Raw genomic sequence first — 21049 nt, 5'->3', positions numbered from 1 at the left:
ATATAAAGCTGTAGTACAGTGGAAATAATGACATTCAGAGAAACTGAGGTAGGCTGAAATTGCTGAAGTGTAGGGTGCATAAGAGGGAGTGGAGGACGTTGAGAATAGGACAGGTAGCGGGTTAAACCATAAAGGGCCCCGTATAATATGCTATAGAGCTATGAGTCTAATCTTACAAATATAAGAAAGCCTCAATCTTACATCTTTTTCAACTTCAGGCAATCTATTTTAAAAATATGCAATGAGCTTTCATCTCTTTTTAATTATTTTTTTCTTTTCTTTCAACCACTGATTTACAAGCAAGTGGGTTTCCAAGAAATACCATTTCTAAAGTTCTCATCCTTAAGTTTCCCCAATGTATCCGTAAAACAAGGCAGAGGAATGTTCTGTCAGTGTTGGAATGGTCGCAGGGGCTTCTGCTTAGACTTTGGCTATAAAACCAGAAGGTGAAAGTTTCATGAGAAACAGGATATTTGGCAGGGTTTGGTGGCTCACGCCTGTAATCCTGGCACTTTGGGAGGCCGAAGTGGGCCGATCACCTGAGATTAGGAGTTCGAGACCAGTCTGGCCAACATGGTGAAACCCTGTCTCTACTGAAAAAACAAAAACATGGTGGTGCACACATGTAATCCCAGCTACTTGGGAGGTTGAGGCAGTGGAATTGCTTGAGACTGGGAGGCAAAGGTTGCAATGAGCCGAGATCCTGTCACTGTACTCCCGCCTGGGCAACAGAGAGAGACTCTGTCTCAAAACAAAACAAAACAAAGAAAGGATATTTATGTAGAGTAACTCTCCACAGGATACTTACTAATTCCAAGTGGTAAAAGAGTAACTTCACAAAGAAACAACCTAGCAGACACCACCATAACTAACTGATGGAAGTTAACGTGACTAGCCATAGGAAAAACCAGCACTTGTGCCTCCTAGGGTGCTTACTGAGGAAGCAACAGCATTGCTCTTTGGGATTCCTGCCAACAGCCCATAGTCTGATTCTAAGCATGAGGACATATTAGACAAACCAACTCAGAGGACAAAAAACTGGCCTGTATTAAAAAATGCTGGCTGGGCATGGTGACTCACACCTGTAATCCCAGCACTTTAGGAGGCTGAAGTGGGCAGATTACTTGAGCTCAGCAGTTTGAGACCAGCCTGGGCAACATGGTGAAACCCTGTCTCTACTAAAAATACAAAAATTAGCCGGGCGTGGTGGTGCATGCCTATAGTCCCAGGTACTCAGGAGGCTGAGGCTGCAGTGAGCTGAGATCGTGCCACTGTGCTCTAGCCTGGGCAACAGAGCAAGACCCTGTCTCAAAAATAAATAAATAAATAAATAAATAAAAATTAAAAATTACCTGGGAGACTTGTTAAAAACTGAAGATTCCCAAGCCCATCTCAGACCCAAGGAATCCTGTAATTTTCTAGATTCAGTATGACACTCAAAGTTTTAGGGAAAATGAGAAGGCTCAGGATTAGAAATTCCAGATTTAACTGCTTGGTGGATACTGGAATGAATTATCCTCTCTCAGTCTCTCTAACTCCTCCTCTGGCAAGGCTCAGGGCCCTAGCAGATTTGCCCAGGTGAAACTAATACTGAGATATTTTATTTTCATTTATTTATTATTATTTTTTATTTTTTAAGAGCAGAGGTTTAGTAGGCAAAAGAAAGCGAAAGGAAGGCCGGGTGCGGTGGCTCACGCCTGTAATCTCAGCACTTTGGGAGGCTGAGGTGGGTGGATCACGAGGTCAGGAGTTCGAGACAAGCCTGGCCAACATGGTGAAACCCCGTCTCTATTAAAAATACAAAAATTAGCTGGGCCTGGTGGCACGAGCCTGTAATCCCAGCTACTTGGGAGGCTGAGGCTGGAGAATCGCTTGAACCCAGGAGGTGGAGGTTGTAGTGAGCCAAGATCGTACCATTGCAACTCCAGCCTGGGCAACACAGCAAGACTCTGTCTAAAAAAAAAAAAAAGAAATTCTATAACATGGTGCTATGGGTTGAATTGTGGCCCCCTAAAAGATATGTTGAAGTCCTAACCACTGGTACCTGTCATATGACCTTATTTAGATATGGGAATTTTTTTTCAGATGTATTAAGGTTAAAATGACATCATTTGGATGTTCTTTTAATTTTTTGAGATAGGGTCTCACTCTGTCCATGCTGGGGTGAAGTGGTATGAAGATGGCCCACTGCAGCCTTAACCTCCTGGGTTCAAGCAACCCTTTCACCTCAGCCTCCTGAGTAGCTGGGACCACAGGTGTGCACCATCATGGCTGGCTGATTCTTTTGACTTTTTGTAGAGACAGGGTCTCACCATGTTGCCCAGGCTGGTCCTGAACTCCTAGGCTCAAGCAATCCTCCTGACTTGGCTTCCCAAAGTAATGGGATTATAGGCACCAGCCACTATGCTTGGCCTATTTGGGTGGATCCTAATCCAATATGACTGCTGTCCTATTAAGAAGACATAGAGAGAGAATGTCATGCGCTGTCAGAGCCAGAGACTGGTAATGATGCAGCTGCAAGCCAAGGAACACCAAGCGTCGACAGCCATCGCAAAGTAGTCAGAGGCAAGGAAGGAGTCCACCCAGAGTCTCAGAGAAGCATGGTCCTGCTGACACATTGATTTTGGACTTCCAGCCTCTAGAACTATGAAAGAGTAAATTTCTGTTGTTCTAAGCTGCCCAGTTGTGGTGCTTTGTCACAACAGTCCTAGGAAATTAATGTACCTGGCTACTTCTAGCAATTTTGGTTTTTAAAGTTACTTGACATACCATTTATTCCACGTTTACCTGAGGAAACAGCATTCTCAGCTTCTTGGTGCTCGTCTGGTGGAGAAGGAACTTTTGCAGTAGCTCTGAGATCCTGGCTTTCCTGCTTTTCATGATTCTGGAATTCAGTGGGATTACTTATTTTTATCTCTGAATGATTCTGCTACAAATTTAAAAAGGAAATAAAAGATTTCGATGATAAATAAGAATTGCTGCCTTCCAAAGATAAGTACCAAAGTGAGGGGGAAAAGGGGTTAAAGGAAGAAAAGTAGGAGAATGAGATTTTTGGTGGCAGATTTGGTTCTCTGCCTTATCAACTGTCACGAGAATGTAAATTTGAGAACAGGAGATACTAGGGCACATTAAGAGGAAAATAGAAATGGCAAGATTAGCTCTGTTAGCAAGGACAAATGAAGAAACCTAGACAGTCTACTGAGCAAGTGACTACATTGAGGCAGAAATTTAAATAATAATAAGTACTGCATTTATTCACTCCAAGAAAAGTAAAAACTAAGGCCCAGAATGTGGCAAGGCAAGAGTTAAAAAGAAAAGAACAAGTTTTCCTCTGCCTAGTAGCTCACTTTGAAGACAGTTAGAAGATAACGCTGTCCAAATAGCCAAGGCCAAAGGAATAAGCTCCAGACACCACCCTCCCCCCGACCCCTGGTTCCAGAGCAAGGTTGAAAGAAAAAAAAAAGAGAAATACAAGTTCTTTTAATGTTACTCTTTTCCCGGGCTTCTTAAGCATGATTAGCATGATTATGTTTTACAAATGTCTGTATTTAGCCAGTTCTTGTTTTTCTTTTAATGCAGCTACAAGGCCACTGGCTAAGTCACAAGTTATGTTACGCTATAGATTATGTAACCTGTTACTGTATGATTAATTGCTTTTATTTTGCTTCTGTAAAGCCACTTATAAAAACCCGCTCAGTCTTTGTTCAAGGCTCAGCTTTTAGATGTGAATCCTCCGAGCCGGTGCGTGCCTAAAATAAACAAATCCTCCTGTACTCCGTATTAGTCTCTCCGTTCCTCAGTTTACTGCAACAATATGAACATAGAAAAGAAAATTAAGACTGTGTTTCAGGGCTGGGCATGGTGGCTCACACCTGTAATCCTAGCACTTTGGGAGGCCGAGGTGGGTAGAGCACCAGAGGTCAGGAGTTCAAGATTAGCCCAGCCAACATGGTGAAATCTCGTCTCTACTAAAAATACAAAAATTAGTTGGGCGTGGTGGTGGCCACCTGTAATCTCAGCTACTCAGGAGGCAGAGGCAGGAGAATTGCTTGAACCTGAGAGGTGGAGGTTGCAGTAAGCTGAGATGGTGCCATCACACTCCATACTGGGCAACAAGAGTGAAACTCTGTCTCAAAAAAAAAAAAAAAAAGAAAAGAAAAAAGAAAAAAAAGACTGTGCTTTGTAAAAATTACATTTGAATAAAAGGATAAGATAAAAGAATAAAACCAGAGTCTACGGAAAGCAAGCGAGGGAAGCCCCTTGCTAATCATGTGATCACACTGCTGAAAGACTAAGTACAGGGTGATCACCAGGCCAGGGACAAGGTAGGAAGGAGAATTTAAACAAACGAAAAAACAACAAAAAACACATTTAATGCTTGTTTCTCTTTCCTTCCTACCTACTACACCTCACTTAAGTGAACACTCAATGAATGTTCATATTTATACAACAAATATTTAATGTGAGCTTAATACTTAAAAAGTGCTTCCTGAGGCCCAAGCCCTGGGATGCAGTGATGAGCAGCTGGACTTGGGTCTGGGCTTTCATGGAGCTTACAGCACACAGTAACCTTACAAACACATGACATCACATGGGAATTTAAAAAGAAATCTCCATAAAAGTATGCCAATTTTGGCATAGGTGGTTTATTTTCAGTTTGTATATTTCCATTCACCTGTGAGTCAGGGTCCACACGGACAGTCTTGCACCTTCTCCTTGTTTTGGTGACATGGCCAAGTGGCTGTCTCTCAGCTTCTTCCTGGTTGCTGATCTGTATCTCAGTCTCATCACAAGAGGATGCAGAAGTTTGACTTTCATCCTGAAAAGAGAGGTATTAATCTGCTATGTGCTATGTCTACAGTTATAATGCTCAGGAAGAATCAGAATTGAGACAGAATAAAAAACATATTACATATGCAAAAGAAAAAATTTAAAACTCTCTAGCGGTAAATTGTAGGCAAAGACAAGAATTATAGAGTATTTAGGCCAGGCACAGTGGCTCACGCCTGTAATCCCAGCACTTTGGGAGACCGAGGCGAGTGGATCACCTGAGGTTAGCGAGACCAGCCTGGTTGACATAGTGAAACTCCATCTCTACTAAAAATAGAAAATTACCCGGGCATGGTGGTGCATGCCTGTAATCCCAGCTACTTGGAAGGCTGAGGCAGGATAATCACTTGACCCGGCAAGGGGAGGTTGCAGTGAGCCAAGATGGCGCCATTGCACTCCAGCCTGGGCAACAAGAACGAAACTCCGTCTCAAAAACAAACAAGCAAACAAACAAACAAACCCTTATAGATTATTTAAAAAGAAATAATCACACTTAGCAACCCAAATTAATAAATTAGGGTAGTAAAGTATTCAAAGTTATTTTAGTGTGAATAAATACAGAAATTGGGCCAGGTGCAGTGGTTCACACCTGTAATCCCAGCACTTTGGGAAGCTGAGGCAGGTGGATCACTCGAGCCCAGGACTTTGAGACCAGCCTGGGCAACATGGCAAAACCCCATCTCTACTTAAAATTATTAAAAATGTATTAAGCCGGGCCAGTGGCTCACACCTGTAACCCCAGCATTTTGGGAGGCCAAGGCTGGTGGATCACCTGAGGTCAGGATTTCGAGACCAGCCTGGCCAACACAGTGAAACCCTGTCTCTACTAAAAATACAAAAATTAGCCAGGCGTGGTGGCAAGTGCCTGTAATCCCAGTTACTCAGGAGGCTAAGCCAGGAGTTATATTTTGTATTATCTTCATTTCCTTTAGGGTCATCTTTTTCTTTCTTTCTTTCTTTTTTAGAGACAAGGTCTTGCTCTGTTGCCTAGGCTAGATTACAGTGGCTTGATCTAAGTTCACTGCGGCCTCAATTTCTGGAGCTCAACTGACCCTCCCACCTCAGCCTCCCAATCAGCTGGGTCCACAGGTATGTGTTACCACACGTAAGCTAATTGTTTTAATTTTGTAGAAATGGGGTCTCACTATGTTGCCCAGGCTGGTTGTGAACTCCTAGGCTGAAGTCATCCTCCTGCCTTGGCCTCGCAAAATGTTGGGATTACACACGTGAGCCTCTATGCCCAGTCCGTTTTCTTTCTTTTTTTTTTTTTTTTGAGACGGAGTCTCACTCTGTTGCCCAGGCTGGAGTGCAGTGGCATGATCTTGGCTCACTGCAAGCTCCACCTCCTGGGTTCATGCCATTCTCCTGCCTCAGCCTCTTGAGTAGTTGGGACTACAGGCGCCCGCCACCACGCCTGGCTAATCTTTTGTGTTGTTAGTAGAGACGGGGTTTCGCCTGTTAGCCAGGATGGTCTCGATCTGTTGACCTTGTGATCCGCCCACCTCAGCCTCCCAAAGTGCTGGGATTACAGGAGTGAGCCACCGCACCCGGCCATGTCTATTCATATTTCATAGCAAATCAGGAAAAACCTCATTAGGAGCTTGAGTGTGCAGGAAATGTGTGTTATTTGGCAGGATTCCTTGGTTAGGGAGGAGGCCATTATGCTGGTGGTTCCTTGAATGCCCAAAGGCAGGAGCCTTTGTCTGATAACTATTTAATTTCCTTAATGAGAAATCTTCCAATATTTTAGAGGGTAGGAGACATCTGGTAGACTGATTACAGGCAGTCTACCAGATGTCTATTTCACTATTAGTAGTCAGTCAATTTCACTATTATGGCCACAGGCCATCCCTTGATAGTCTATTTATTTGGCTTGAGGTTTAGTGAGGCCTATCATCAGTATTTTTTTTGTTTTGAGACAGAGTCTAGTTCTGTTGCCCAGGCTGGAGTGCAGTGCTATAATCTCGGCTCACTGCAATCTCCGCCTCCCAGGCTCAAGCAATTCTCCTGCCTCAGCCTTATGACTAGCTGGGATTACAGGTACATGCCACCATGCCCAGCTAATTTTTGTATTTTAGTAGAGACGGGATTTCACCATTTTGGCCAGGCTGGTCTCGAACTCCTGACCTCAGCTGATCCACCCACCTTGACCTCCCAAAGTGGTGGGATTACAGGCGTGAGCCACTGTGCCTGGCCATACATCAGTATTTATTTATTTATTTATTTATTTATTTATTTATTTATTTATTTATTTATTTTTGAGACGGGGTCTGGCTCTGTTGCCCAGGATGGAGTGCAATAGCACAATCTTGGCTCATTGCAACTTCTGGCTCCTGAGTTCAAGCGATTCTCCTGCCTCAGCCTCCCGAGTAGCTGGGACTACAGGTGCGTGCCACCACACCCGGCTAATTTTTGTATTTTTAGTAAAGATGGGGTTTCACCATTTTGGCCAGGATGGTTTTGATCTCTTGACCTCGTGATCCACCCACCTCGGCCTCCCAAAGTGCTGGGATTACAGGCCTGAGCCACCGCACCCAGCCATCCGTATTTTTAAAAAGTTCCCCAGCCTAGGCAACATAATGAGACCCCAGTCTCTACAAAAAAAATTTCTTAAAAAGTAACAAGGTGTAGTGAGTGTGCCTGCAGTTCCAGCTACTTATGAGGCTGAAGTGGGAGGACTGCTTGAGGTCAAGCCAAAAGCAAGCCATGATTATGCCACTGCACTCCAGCCTGGGTGATAGAGTGAGACCCCATCTCAAAAATAAATAATTAAGAAAAAATATATAAAAAAATATAAAATATATCTGTTGGGAATGAAAGAATAAAGCTTAAAGAATAGAAGGACTGGCTGGGTGTGGTGGCTCACGCCTATAATCCCAGGACTTTGGGAGGCCAAGGTGGGCACATCACTTGAGGTCAGGAGTTCAAGACCAGTCTGGCCAACATGGTAAAACCTCCACTCTACTAAAAACACAAAAATTAGCTGGGCATGGTGGTGTGCATCTGTAATCCCAGTTACTCAGGGCAAGACTCCATCTCAAAAAAAAAAAGAATAAAAGGCCTTAACCAGAGGTAAAATATTACAGAAGTGGAATAGTTCCAAGTGTTGTAAGGTCTAGGATATGCCCAGAGAAGTAGACGGTTGATAAAGAGCAAAAACAAAGATCACTAGCATTAAGGGACAAGGAGGCCACAGTAGTAAGAAGAGACATCCAGATGGACCTTTGAACTTGTCCAAAATAAGATGAAGACATGAGGAAATGATGACAATGAGACAGAGAACACTAGAGAGTAACTAGGAGCTCAGCAGATGGGAGATTAAAATAGGTAAGCATATGCGGTGGCTCACCCCTGGAATCCCAGCACTTTGGGAGGCCGAGGTGGGAGGATCACCTGAGGTTGGGAGTTTGAGACCAGCCTGACAAACATGTGAAACCCCGTCTCTACTAAAAATACACAATTATCCGGGTGTGGTGGCGCATGCCTGTAATCCCAGCTACTCAGGAGGCTGAGGCAGGAGAATCGCTTTAACTCAGGAGGTGGAGGTTGCGGTGAGCCGAGATCGTGTCATTGCACTCCAGCCTGGGCAGCAAGAGTGAAACTCAGAAAAAAAAAAAAGAAAGAAAAAAATAGGTGATCATAAATTTCAAAGGAGAAGAGATTTTTTTTCCCTTTATCTTTGGCCTTTTCAAGATGAGCTAAAAAAGGAGCAGGGGTTTTTACATGAGAATAGAAAAATGTGGATCCCACTTTCCAACTCCCTGATAGTCACGGAGAAGAAAGTAAAAGAGGAGAAACTGGCAGAGCGTCTGTAATCCCAGCACTTTGGGAGGCAGAGGTAGGCAAACTACTTGAGCCCAGGAGTTTGAGACCAGCCCGGGCAATATTGTGAAACCCCGTCTCTACTAAAAATACAAAAAATAGCCAGGAATGGTGATACAAGGCTGTAGTCCCAGCTACTCAGGGGAGTGAGGCAAGAGGATCACTTGAGCCTGGGGGGTCCAGGCTGCAGTGAGCCCTGATTGTACCACTGCACTCCAGCCTGGGTTAGAGTGAGACCCTGTCTCAAAAAAAAGTAAGAGAAATTGTTTCCATGTATTAGGTTGGTGCAAAAATAAGTGCGGTGGTTTTTTTTTCTTTTTTTCGGAGACGGAGTCTCATTCTGTTGCCTAGGCTGGAATGCAGCGGCGTAATCTTGGCTCACTGCGACATCTGAATCCCAGGTTCAAATAATTCTCCTGCCTCATCCTCTTGAGTAGCTGGGAGTACAGCTGTGTGCATCCATGCTCGGCTAATTTTTGTATTTTTAGTAGAGACGGTGTTTTGCCATGTTAGCCAGGCTGGTCTTGAACTCCTGACCTCAGGTGATCCACCCGCCTTGGCCTTCCGAAGTGCTGGTATTACAGACGTGAGCCACTGTGCCCAGCCTGGTTTTTGTCATTTTTTTTTGAGACGGAGTCTCGCTTTGTCGCCCAGGCTGGAGTGCAGTGGCATGATCTCGGCTCACTGCAAGCTCCGCCTCCTGGGTTCACTCCATTCTCCTGCCTCAGCTTCCCTAGTAGCTGGGACAACAGGCGCCCACCACCACGCCTGGTTAGTTTTTTGTATTTTTAGTAGAGACAGGGTTTCACCGTGTTAGCCAGGATGGTCTTGATCTCTTGACCTCATAATCCACCCGCCTCAGCCTCCCAAAGTGCTGGGATTACAGGTGTGAGCCACCGCGCCTGGCCTGGTTTTTGTCATTTTTTAAAGTAATGGCAAAAACCACAATTACATTTGCACCAACCTAGAAGCAGTACCTTTGAGTTACACATGTTGCTGGAATATAAAGAGACAATTTTTAGTTGTTGTTTCTTTTTTTTTTTTTTTTTTTGAGATGGAGTCTCATTCTGTCTCCCAGGGTGGAGTGCAATGGTTTGATCTCTGCTCACTACATCTGCCTCACGGATTCAAGTGATTCTCCTGCCTCAGCCTCCTGAGTAACTGGGACTGCAGGTGTACACCACCATGCCCAGCTAATTTTTGTATTTTAGTAGAGATGGGGTTTCACCATGTTGGCCAGGCTGGTCTCAAACTCCTGACCTCAAGTGATCCACCCACCTCGGCTTACCAAAGTGCTGGGATTACAGGTGTGAGCCACTGCGCCTGGCCTATAATTTTAATTTCAAATGGCACTACAATCATGTACCCTTAACCATAAAAAAGAAATTGATATAGAAACTTTTAAAGCTAGAATTCAAAAATAGTTCTTGTCTATTTTCAGTTAATTAAAGCCTGGAATCAAAAATAAATTTGACGCCAGGTGCGGTGGCTCACACCTGTAATCCCAGCACTTTGGGAGGCTGAGGCAGGTAGATCAACTGAGGTCAGGAGTTTGAGACCAGCCTGGCCAACATGGTGAAACCCCATCTCTACTAAAAATACAAGAAAATGGGCCGGGCATGGTGGCTCACCCCTGTAATCCCAGCACTTTGGGAGGCCGAGGTGGTGGGATCACCCGAGGTCGGGAGTTTGAGACCAGCCTGACCAACATGGAGAAACCCTGTGTCTACTAAAAATACAAAATTAGCTGGGTGTGGTGGTGCATGCCTGTAATCCCAGCTACTCAGGAGGCTGAGGCAGGAGAATTGCTTGACCCCAGGAGATGGAGGTTGCAGTGAGCTGAGAACACACCACTGCACTCCAGCCTGGATGACAGCAAGATTCTGTCTCAACAACTACAACAACAAAAAGAATAAAAGAATCTTGGCTCTAATGGGGCACTCATTCATCCGTTTAGGAGTCATGCCTTATCAAAAATCTTTGCTGTGGGTCTGAAGCGGCCATGACAACTCCCATCAGCCATCAGCAGTGTTTTATAGCTTACAAGTCACTTTCACAATCCCTACTTCATGTGATGCTCACAACACTCAGTTCAGCAGAACAGATATTATTTCCATTTTAAAGAAGAGGAGTTTGAGTTTTCTAATGTTGCAGAGAAATAAATGAGAGCTGGTACTTGACCAAGGTGTTTCTGATTTCAAATCCAGTTCCCTCTCTACTTAAATCATGCCATCTCTCGTAGTACTTGGCAACTAGTACTCAGCCTTTGTATCTGTGTAAAAACATGTTATTCAACAGATTACTTGGCGCAAAACAGTTTCACCATTCACAACAGCAGATAGTTAATCTGAAAGGATTCAGTCCTTGGCACTATTACCAATAATGATCTCTTTTTTAATAAACAGCATATCTTTTTTTTTGTTTTTTGAACGGAGTCTTGCTCTGTCACCCAGGCTGGAGTACAGTGGCGCGATCCTGGCTCACTGCAACCTCCACCTCCCGGGTTCAAGCAATTCTCCCTGTCTCAGCCTCCTGAGTAGCTGGGATTACAGGCTCCCGCCACCACATCTGGCTAATTTTTGTATTTTTAGTAGAGACGGGGTTTCACCATGTTGGCCAGGCTGGTCTCGAACTCCTGGACTCAAGTGATCCGCCTGCCACTGCCTACCAAAGTGCTAGGAGTATAGGCGTGAGCCACAACACCTGGCCAACAGCATGTCTTAAATCATCACTAGTTGTGTGTTAATTGCCCATTAACCAAATATGATTATTTTGCTAGCTAACAGGTAAACATGAAAAACATTACTCACCTGATTCTCATTTCCTTTTCTTGCCTCATGTTTAATGTAGCCTTTCAAGGCTTTTAACAACTTGGTTGCCTGCAAGAGAGACCTTATTATTAGAGCCAAAAGTCAAATAAACAAGGAAGATACGTTGAATATTTTTTGCTGTTCTTGTATTCATTAAATGTACTCTGGTCAGACCATAGGACTAGAACCATTACTTAGAAAGAATGGGTCTCTGCTCTAAGGAATTTCACATCTGAGTGGGAAAGTTAGACAAGGAAAGAGGCAATTGCAATACAGTGGGGTAAATGCCCACGCTAGGAGGCTCAGGCTGTCATGAGAACATAGGTAGGCATGGCCATCAAAGTTGGGACTGCTAGGTTAGACTTCAGCAAGTATCTGCACAGGGCAGTTCTCAGATAAAGATGTGATGTCTCTAATTGCTGAGATCTGAAGGATGAAGAGAAGGTAGAGAAAGAGGTAGAGGAATGGCACAGCAAGGCAACAATGAGGGTGGAGTTTGAAGAACTTAAGTTCAGTGTGGCTGGAACATGGACCTGTTTGTAGGAGATAGTAAGAGACAATGTTGGGAAAGTGAGCAGGGCCGTGATGTTACCAGGCCTTGTAAGCCTTTAAAGAGTATGAACTTTACTCTCAGAGAAAAGGGCAGTCTCTGAAGAGTTTGCAGCAAGGCAGTGGGTGACCAATTTTGCATTACTCAGAATGAGTAGTCTACCTGCACAATGTGCAAGATGCATTTGATGGGGATGAGCCAGAAATGCTGTGGCCTGAACTGGAGCGGGGCTAAGGCAGTATGGATGAAGTCAAAACCTTCTTAGGAAGTGAAATCAGTGTGAACATGAGAGTTGAGGAAGAGGGAAACTTTGTTATGCCAACGTTTCTGGCTTGGACAGCTGGTGAAGTGTGGTACGGTCCCTAAGATGAGGAATGCAAAAGGTGACGGGGTCTTAGGGGGATGGTTGTAGGTCTCTGCCGGGGGAAGGGAACACTGAGCTTCTCTTCCCAGCCTAGGAAAACCTCCCTTCTTGTTCTTTCCTGAAAGAACAATGTTAATTTGATTGGTTACATTTTCCTGTGCTTTAAAAGTCAAGTTTGGTTGAGCGGGGTGGCTCATGCCTGTAATTCCAGCACTTTGGGAGGCCGAGGCAGGTGGATCACGAGGTCAGGGGTTTTAGACCAGCCTGGCCAACATGGTGAAACCCCGTCTCTAATAAAAAAACAAAAATTAGCCGGGCATGGTGGTGTGTGCCTGTAGTCCCAGCTACTTGGGAGGCTGAGGCAGAAGAATTGCTTGAACCCAGGAGGCGAAGGTTGCAGTGAGCCGAGGAGATGATGCCACTGCACTCTAGTCTGGGCGATAGAGCAAGACTCCGTTTAAAAAACAAAAGTCAAGTTTTTTGGTTGGGTTCTTTTTTTCTTCCTCTTCCACCCAGCCATGCAGTTGAGGGCCACAGCCATCCTTCTCAAGGTGGGCCCAGCCACCAGGCTTGGCTCTATTCTTCTCATGCCTTTTATCATGGGCCATGTGTCCAGTAGAGAATAGCAGAGATCCTGAAATTTGGTTTGTGCTCAAGCTTTTGCTTGTGGTGCAAGCCTAAGCCACAGTCTCCAATCCACTTTACCAGAATGCTCTGCATCAAGATATCAGGCACTATTTCAGCTAGTAATAAAGTGGTACCTTATTTTCTACTTGTTCCTTGAACCACCCTTGAGGTTTTCTCTGGGAAGGGGATGATTGGCAGGGCAGAATTCAGGCATTCTTGATTTTTCTAATACTCTCTTAATATACCTTCAAAATCTCACCAAACATACAAAAATGCATGAAGTGAGGCACCTGTGGCAGAACCCAGTGAGGAGGTTGAATGATATGAGGTGGTGTTCAAGAGTTGTGCTGAAGGTGCAGATGTTAGTTATCAGCATATATTCATGCATTCCTTCAACAAGCATTTATTGTGCTGGGCACTGTTCCAGACACTAGAGAGTGATTAATTAAACAGACAAGGTGATTGCCCTCCAGGATCTTCTAGCAGAGGTGAAACAGTTACCCAAGAAAGCTAGAAATGAATGATATGACGTCAGGTATTATGATGCAAAAATAAAACTGGGCAACTGGGGTGGGGTGGGGATGCTACCTGAATTAGGATGGCTGGGAAAGGCCTCCCGAGATGTGAATGAGGAAAGAGGCAGCAGGTGAAGAGCACTCCGAGCAGAGCGAGCGCCAAGAACAGGAGCCCTGAGGTGGACTCATGAGTTGAAAGACAGAAACTGCCCTTATGGTAGAAGTATGGTGAACACTGAGGTATATGGAGGGCAGGGAGATCAGAGATGTGACCAGAGGCTGGGTCAAGTAGAGAGGTAAAGGCCACAGCAAAAATTATGAATTTCAGCCAGGTACAGTGACTAATGCCTGTAATCCTAGCACTTTGGGAGGCCGAGGCAGGAAGATCACCCAAAGTTAGGAGTTCAAGACCAGCCTGGCCAACAGGGTGAAACCCCATGTCTGCAAAAAATAGCTGGGCGTGGTGGTGGGCACCTGTAGTCTGAGCTACTCAGGAGGCTGAGGCGGGAGAATCACTTGAACCTGGGAGGTGGAGGTTGCAGTGAGCCGGAATCGCACCACTGCACTCCAGCCTGGGTGACAAGAGCGAAAGTCTGTCTCAAAAAAAATAAAAAAATAGAAAAAAAATTAATTTCTTCCCCTAAATTGTTATTAGAAAAAAAGTCAGGCCTATAGAAAAGTCAAAGTAGGCTGGGTGTGGTGGCTCACGCCTGTAATCCCAGCACTTTGGGAGGCCTGAGGCAGTCAGATCACCTGAGTTCAGGAGTTCCAGACCAGCCTGAACAATATGGAGAAACCCTGTCTCTACTAAAAATACAAAATTAGCTGGGCATGGTGGCACATGCCTGTAATCCCAGCTACTTGGGAGGCTGAGGCAAGAGAATTGCTTGAATCCAGGAGGTGGAGGTTGCAGTGAGCTGAGATCATGCCGTTGCATTCTAGCCTGGGCAACAACAGCGAAACTCCGTCTCAAAAAAAAAAAAAAAAGAAAAGTCGAAGTAATGTAATAAACACTCATATTTCCCACCAAGATTCAATAGTCATTTGCATTGTCTCATATTTGGTTTCTCTATATTAATATATAATTCTTGTGAAAGAATTTGAAAATAAGTTCCAGACATCATGATTCTTTACCACTAAATATATCAGCCACATCTCCTAAAAATAAGAGATTTCCCCACATGATCCTCTAATGCATTAGTGTACTCAGGAAAAGCAATAATTTCCTAATATCACCTAATATGTGGCCCATAATGAAATTTCCTTCTCTCCAATTTTAGCTATTTTCTTTTTAAAAAAATTTCCCTCCAAATCAGGGTCAAACTAAGTTTCTCTCATTACACTGGAAAGAGTTTAGATTTTATTTTAGATGTGAGGGAAGTCATTGGAGGGCACTGAGCAGAAAGACACGTTCTAAGTTTATTTTTTTTTTTGGAGACAGAGTCTCGCTCTGTCGCCCAGGGTGGAGTGCAGTGCCGTGATCTTGGCTCACTGCAGCCTCCACCTCTCAGGTTGAAGGGATTTTCGTGCCTCATCCTCCCGAGTAGTTGGGATTATAGGCACATGCCACCACGCCTGGCTAATTTTTGTATTTTTTTTTTTTTTAGTAGAGACGGGGTTTTGCCATGCTGGCCAGGCCGGCCTTGAACTCCTGGCCTCAAGTGATCCACCCACCACGGCCTCTCAAAGTGCTGGGATTACAGGTATGAGCCACTGCGCCTGGCGCCTGGTCTCTCTCTCTTTTTTTTCTTTTCCCTAAGTTTCAAATATCACTCCAACTACCAAGAGAACACTATTGTGAGGTAAGAGTTGAGGCAGGAAGCCCAATAGGGAGACTGAGGCAGTGGTCAGGAGATGAGAGTGCTGTGGCACAGGTTTGCAGCGCTGGAGATGGTGCCCAGAGGTCAGATTTCAGGTCTATTTAGGAGGAGGTGCTGACAAGAATGGATGGCTGTGGGTGAAGAAGAGAGGAATCCAGGGTGATCCAAACTGGGCCTGAACAATGTACTGAGATGGGGAAGAGACTGTCAATGCTTGGACCTGACCGTGTTGTTGAAAATGCACTTAAATACACGAGTCAGCATCCCAGGGGAGAGAGAGGTCCTACTGGAGATGTGGGTTTGGGAGGCATTAGCTTTTGGGTAAATTTTAACTTATGGGAATGGGCCGGACGCAGTGGCTCATGCCTGTAAACCCAGCACTTTGGGACGCCAAGGCAGGTGGATCACTTGAGGTCAGGAGTTTGAAACCAGCCAGGCCAACATGGTGAAGTCCTGTCTCTACTAAAAATACAAAAAAATTAGCTGGGCATGGTGGCAGGCACCTATAATCCCAGGAACTCGGGTGGCTGAGGCAGGAGAATCGCTTGAACCTGGGAAGTGGAGGTTGCAGTGAGCCGAGATTGCGCCACTGCACTCTAGCCTGGGTGACAGAGCAAGACTGTGACTCAAAAAAAAAAAAAAAAAAAGAAAAAAGAAAAGAAAAAAAAATGGGGTGGATAAGATCACCGAGGGATAGAGCATAGTTAGAGAAAAGACAACCAGGAAGAGAGCCCTGGGGGCACTCCACATTTAGAGATCTGGCAGATGAAGAACCAACCAAGGAGACTAGAAAGAAGTGCTAGTAAGGCAGGACAGCGTGAAATATCAAAGCCTAGAACAGAAAGTGCCTGGAGCAGAGGGGAATGTTCAATCATGCCAAATGCTACTGATAGGCACAGGTGAGGGGAGAGAGGGAACACAAGCTTTGTAAGATGGCGACCTTAATAAAGCAATTTCAGTAGAAAAGAACAGAGAAATAGGGCAGTAGATGGAATGAGGACATGGGATCAGGAGAGGATTTTGGCTTTTTTATTTTTTTAAAAGATGGGTGATAGTAAAACATGATTGCATGCCTTATGGCAAATAAGCTAGCAGAGTGGAGAAATTAATGAGGAGAGAGGCTCTAATTGTAGGAATGTAGTCCTAGGGGAAGCAAGAGGGCCCAGGATCTTCAGCATAAATGGAAAGGTTGCCCTTAGACAGGCAAAGAAGCAGAGTATGTGGATGTAGATGCAGGGTGGCTAAAAGGTTTGGTGGTGGGGCCAAGCCTAGGGTCTCACGCCTGTAATCCCAGCACTTTGGGAGGCCAAGGCGCGAGGATCGCTGAATCTCAGGAGTTGGAGACCAGACAGGGCAACATAGTCAGACCTCATCTCTACTAAAATTCAAAAAAACACTGGCCAGGCAGGGTGGTCATGCCTGTAGTCCTAGCTACTCAGGGGGCTGCGGTGGGAGGATTGCTTGAGCCCGGGAGGTTGAGGCTGCAGTGAGTCCTGATTGTGCCACTGCACTCCAGAGAACTCCAGGCTGGCTGACAGAGCAAGACCCTGTCTCAAAAAAAAAAAAAAAAAAAAAAAAAGAAAAGGAAAGGAAAAAAAGGGGGGGATTTGGTGGTTGAACGATAAGGCAGTTTTCTGTTGATTGCATCTATTTTCCCATGACCTATGAGGTAAAGTCATCAAGGGAGGGAAGGGAACCAAGTTGAGTCAAGATGATAAAAAGTAATTATCCTCAAAAGTAGGAAAGTTCATGACTAAGAAGAAAATGGGCCAGGTGTGGTGGCACGTGCCTGTAATCCCAGCTACTTAGGAGGCTGAGGTGGGAGGATGTCTTGAACCTGAGAGGTTGAGGCTGCAGTGAGGCCTGATTGTGCCACTGCAGCCTAGGCAACAGAGCGAGACCTTATCTCAAAAAAAAAAAAAAAAAAAAACCAAAAGGAGGAGGATCAAATGCCCATATTAAGGTTTAGCGTTGCATATTTAAAATAAGTTCGCTCAACAAAGTTAGGTGTTTTCTCCAACTAGAGTTAGCTGCAGAGGTATAGGCAAAGATTAAGCACATAGCTGGGTTTAATCAGGCTTGGGTTTTGCCAGGTGAGTATAGGGAGGTGCAAGGAAGTGGAAATAGTGCCAGTGTTTGTAATTTAAGCTCGCAAGAAAGGAAGTGAGGGCATGAGTGACAACAGGACCAGTCGCCCCACTAACATTAATAACTGGCTCCTTCAAATTGCTATACCATTAAGAGAAGTCTCTCAAAAGAGGGAATATTATCTCCTATATATTTATTATTATTATTATTATTATTATTATTTTTAGACGGAGTTTCGCTCTTGTTGCCCAGGCTGGAGTGCAATGGTGTGATCTTGGCTCACTGCAGCGTCTGCCTCCCTGGGTTCAAGCAATTCTCCTCTCCTGCCTCAGCCTCCCGAGTAGCTGGGATTACAGGTGCCCCCTGCCACGCCTGGCTAAATTTTGTATTTTTAGTATAGATGGGGTTTTGCCATGCTGGCCAGTCTGGTCTCAAACTCCTGACCTCAGGTGAGACACCTGCCTTGGCCTCCCAAATGCTGGGATTACAGGTGCAAGCCACCATGCCCGGCCATAAATTTATTTTTAATAATATCATACTAGTAAAATTATCAAGATTTGATTAAAATAAAACATTACAATTTAAATAAATTTTACTAGTACAAATATACTAGTATACATAAAAATATAGTATATTTAGTATATTTATATTTATACTGGTATAATATAGTATATTTAGTATATTTATACCAGTATAATATAGTATATTAGTATATTTATACCGGTATAAATATAGCATATTTAGTATATTATACCGGTATAAATATAGTATATTTAGTATATTTATACTAAACATACATACTATATTTAGTATATTTATATTTAGTATATTTATATATTTAATATATTTATATATAGTATATTTAGTATATAGTATATTAAGTATAGTATTTATATTTATTTATAGTATAATATATTTAGTATATTAAATATATTTAGTATACATATTAGTATATATAGTATATTTAGTATATAGTATATCTATACTAAATATATATACTAATACACACTAAATACTAAATATGTAAATTTAGTATATTTATATAGTATATTTATAGTATATTTATCTAGTACATATAGTATATTAATATAGTATATTTAGTATATATAGTATATTTATATATTTAGTTTATTTTAGTGTATTTAGTATATTTAGTATCCTAGTATATTTATATATACTAGTATATATATTATATATTTATACTAGTAATAATATATATAGTATATACTAGTATAAATTATAAATTTTATTAGCATAATTATACTAGTATATTTATGCTAGTAAAATTTATTTAAATTGTAGTGTTTCATTTTAATCAAATCTTGATAATTTCTCAGAGCAATTTATTAATTTTTTTGCTATGTACTAAAATTTCAAAAGGCAATTGACTTAATGAGCTCTTAGGTTGTACCAAGTTAATAATTTAAAACATCTTATTATGGAAAATTTCAAACCTAAAAAAGTAGAGAGAATAGTGCAATCCCCCCATGTACCTATCTCCAGTTTCAGTAATTATTAACATTCTTCTGTTCTTACTTCATCTAGTTTCCCTCTCTTTTTCCTTGAGTATTTTACAGCAAATTTTACAGGTATCATAACATTTCACCTATAAATACTTGATTCACATATAAATACTTGATATGGGCCAGGCGTGGTGGGTCACGCCTGTAATCCCAGGACTTCGGGAGGCCGTGGCGGGAGGATCGCTTGAGCCCAGGAGTTCAAGACCAGCCTGGGCAAGATGGTGAAACCCTATCTCTACTAAAAATACACACACACACACACAGCCAGGCAGATAAAGGAGAAAGAAGGTGATCTGAGGCTAGAGGGTCAAAATGAGCAATGGGACAAAGATAGATAAAAGTGCCAAGTGTTCAGGGATGCAGCCTTGGATAAAAGATTCTAGCTAGGCAGCAAAAAAGCCTAAGGAATTTAGGCTGAGATATTAAGGCTTTGTTTACGAAGTATAGAGGAGCCACTAACCACTACAGCCCAGAAATATCCCCAAGGAAAACCCTTTGGTCATTCAGCCCCAACAGGCACTTAGGCCCTGATTATTTTGTTTAAACAATTTAGGTCGGGTGGGGTGGCTCACGCCTGTAATCCCAGTACTTTGGGGGCTGAGGCGGGCGGATCAGGAAGTCAGGAGTTCGAGACCAGCCTGACCAACATGGTGAAACCCCATCTCTACTAAAAATACAAAAATTAGCCAGGCGTGGTGACACGCGCCTGTAATCCCAGCTACTCAGGAGGCTGAGGCAGGAGAATCGCTTGAACCCAGGAGGCGGAGGTTGCGGTGAGCCGAGATGGCGCCACTGCACTCCAGCCTGGGCGACAGAGCAAGACTCCGTCTCAAAGAAAAAACAAACAAACAAACAAATAAAAAAAAAATTGTGACGATTGATTTAAGCATTTACTCACTGTCAGTATCACAGCCTGCAGGAGAAACCTCCAGAGTATATAGCAGTATTATGTGGGAAGTCTCAACTATTAACAAAATATATAAAACCGCTATCCTACATTAAATCCCCAAATCTTCTTCTAACATCTTGGGTTTTTTGTTTGTTTTTGTTTTGTTTGAGACTGAGTCTCTCTCTGTCACCGAAGTTGGAGTGCAGTGGTGCGATCTTGGCTCACTGCCACCTCGGCTTCCCAGGTTCAAGCGATTCTTCTGCCTCAGCCTCCCAAGTAGCTGGGATCACAGGCAAAAAGCTTGGATCACAGGCGTGTGCCACCACGCCCGGCTAATTTTTTAAGGGCCAGGCTGGTCTCGAACTCCTGACCTCAGGTGATCCGCCTGCCTCGACCTCCCAAAGTGCTGGGATTACAGGCGTGAGCCACAGCGCCGGGCCAACTCTCCAAACATCTTGTAGCCTCGGAGTCAAAGACCTTACTGGTTTTGATAGAGACCATCAACCCAACAGTCATCAATAAAAATTTACCCAAGGAGGTGCTCCCCTAAAAGTCGATTTTTTTTTTCTGACAGGTCCATCAATAAAGTATCAAGAGATTATCGGCAATATTACAAATCACTGGAGTCTGTTTGGGGTTTTCCAGAAGCTGAGCCAATTATTTACTTAATTGTCTAACGATTAACGACACCCCTTGTGCTTTCTGGGCCTGAGTTTCGTAATCGACGCCCTGAGAGGTATACAGTAATTTCAAAACAAAACAAAACAAAAAACAATAAACCATCCCTCGGAATAGAGCTTATCATGTGAGCACCCAGACAAGCCAGCTTCAAAATGAGGTGAAAACTACAGTTCCTCTTCCGTTTATCAGAGTTCTAACTGGGACTACCGTGAACCACATCTACTGCCCGAGGGGCAGGGAGAGCTGCCTCAGTCCCGGGCTTCCCTCTCGGTCCCTTCGCACCGCATCTCCCCGAGGCCGCTATTCCCGCCGCGCCCGCCCAGGGACCCGCACCGCCAGCGCCGTACCCTCAGGTTGGCCCGGAGACCCAGACTCTTGGCTAAGTTCTGCAGGTCACTGTACTTGAGGGAGTCCAGCTCCTCTAGAGAGGGGATGATCATCGCGATTCGAAATCCCGGCGATACTCGGAAGATGGATCACCAAACTTCGTCAGCGCGGTTCAAATCCCTGGCGCCACTCTTAACTTTGAC

The 21049-nt window shown here is 43.8% G+C and overlaps 1 protein-coding gene across 23 annotated transcripts in view, besides 2 other annotated features; it reads right to left on the bottom strand.

Moving 5' to 3' along the window:
* The window catches only part of NUSAP1 (nucleolar and spindle associated protein 1), a 48166-nt gene extending 27130 nt beyond the window's left edge, over nucleotides 1-21036 (bottom strand). For 4 of the 23 annotated variants that reach the window (XM_006720559.4, XM_006720562.4, XM_005254428.4 and 1 more), the window contains exons 1-4: nucleotides 20867-21036; nucleotides 11463-11531; nucleotides 4676-4819; nucleotides 2770-2929 (exon numbers count right to left, since the gene is read on the bottom strand). In XM_006720559.4, coding sequence (XP_006720622.1) covers nucleotides 2770-2929; nucleotides 4676-4819; nucleotides 11463-11531; nucleotides 20867-20959 — 466 coding nt within the window. In that variant the 5' untranslated portion in view covers nucleotides 20960-21036. The remainder of the gene's footprint in view (nucleotides 1-2769; nucleotides 2930-4675; nucleotides 4820-11462; nucleotides 11532-20866) is intronic. The other 19 variants (NM_016359.5, XM_047432641.1, NM_018454.8 and 16 more) reach the window with 6 other exon arrangements.
* Nucleotides 15935-16556: an enhancer, noted in NCBI's record as "H3K4me1 hESC enhancer chr15:41629559-41630180 (GRCh37/hg19 assembly coordinates)". NCBI's record gives its function as "activates a minimal SCP1, AML or CMV promoter by ChIP-STARR-seq in naive H9 embryonic stem cells {active_cell/tissue: H9 hESC(naive)}" and the evidence as "EXISTENCE:reporter gene assay evidence [ECO:0000049][PMID:30033119]".
* Nucleotides 16557-17178: an enhancer, noted in NCBI's record as "H3K4me1 hESC enhancer chr15:41628937-41629558 (GRCh37/hg19 assembly coordinates)". NCBI's record gives its function as "activates a minimal SCP1, AML or CMV promoter by ChIP-STARR-seq in naive H9 embryonic stem cells {active_cell/tissue: H9 hESC(naive)}" and the evidence as "EXISTENCE:reporter gene assay evidence [ECO:0000049][PMID:30033119]".
* Nucleotides 21037-21049: the final 13 nt, after the last annotated feature.

This window comes from Homo sapiens, chromosome 15 (genome assembly GCF_000001405.40).
Source record: "Homo sapiens chromosome 15, GRCh38.p14 Primary Assembly".
Lineage (NCBI taxonomy): Eukaryota > Metazoa > Chordata > Mammalia > Primates > Hominidae > Homo > Homo sapiens.
Note: the sequence above shows the minus strand (reverse complement) of the source record. Positions and strands in the feature narration are given on the sequence as shown.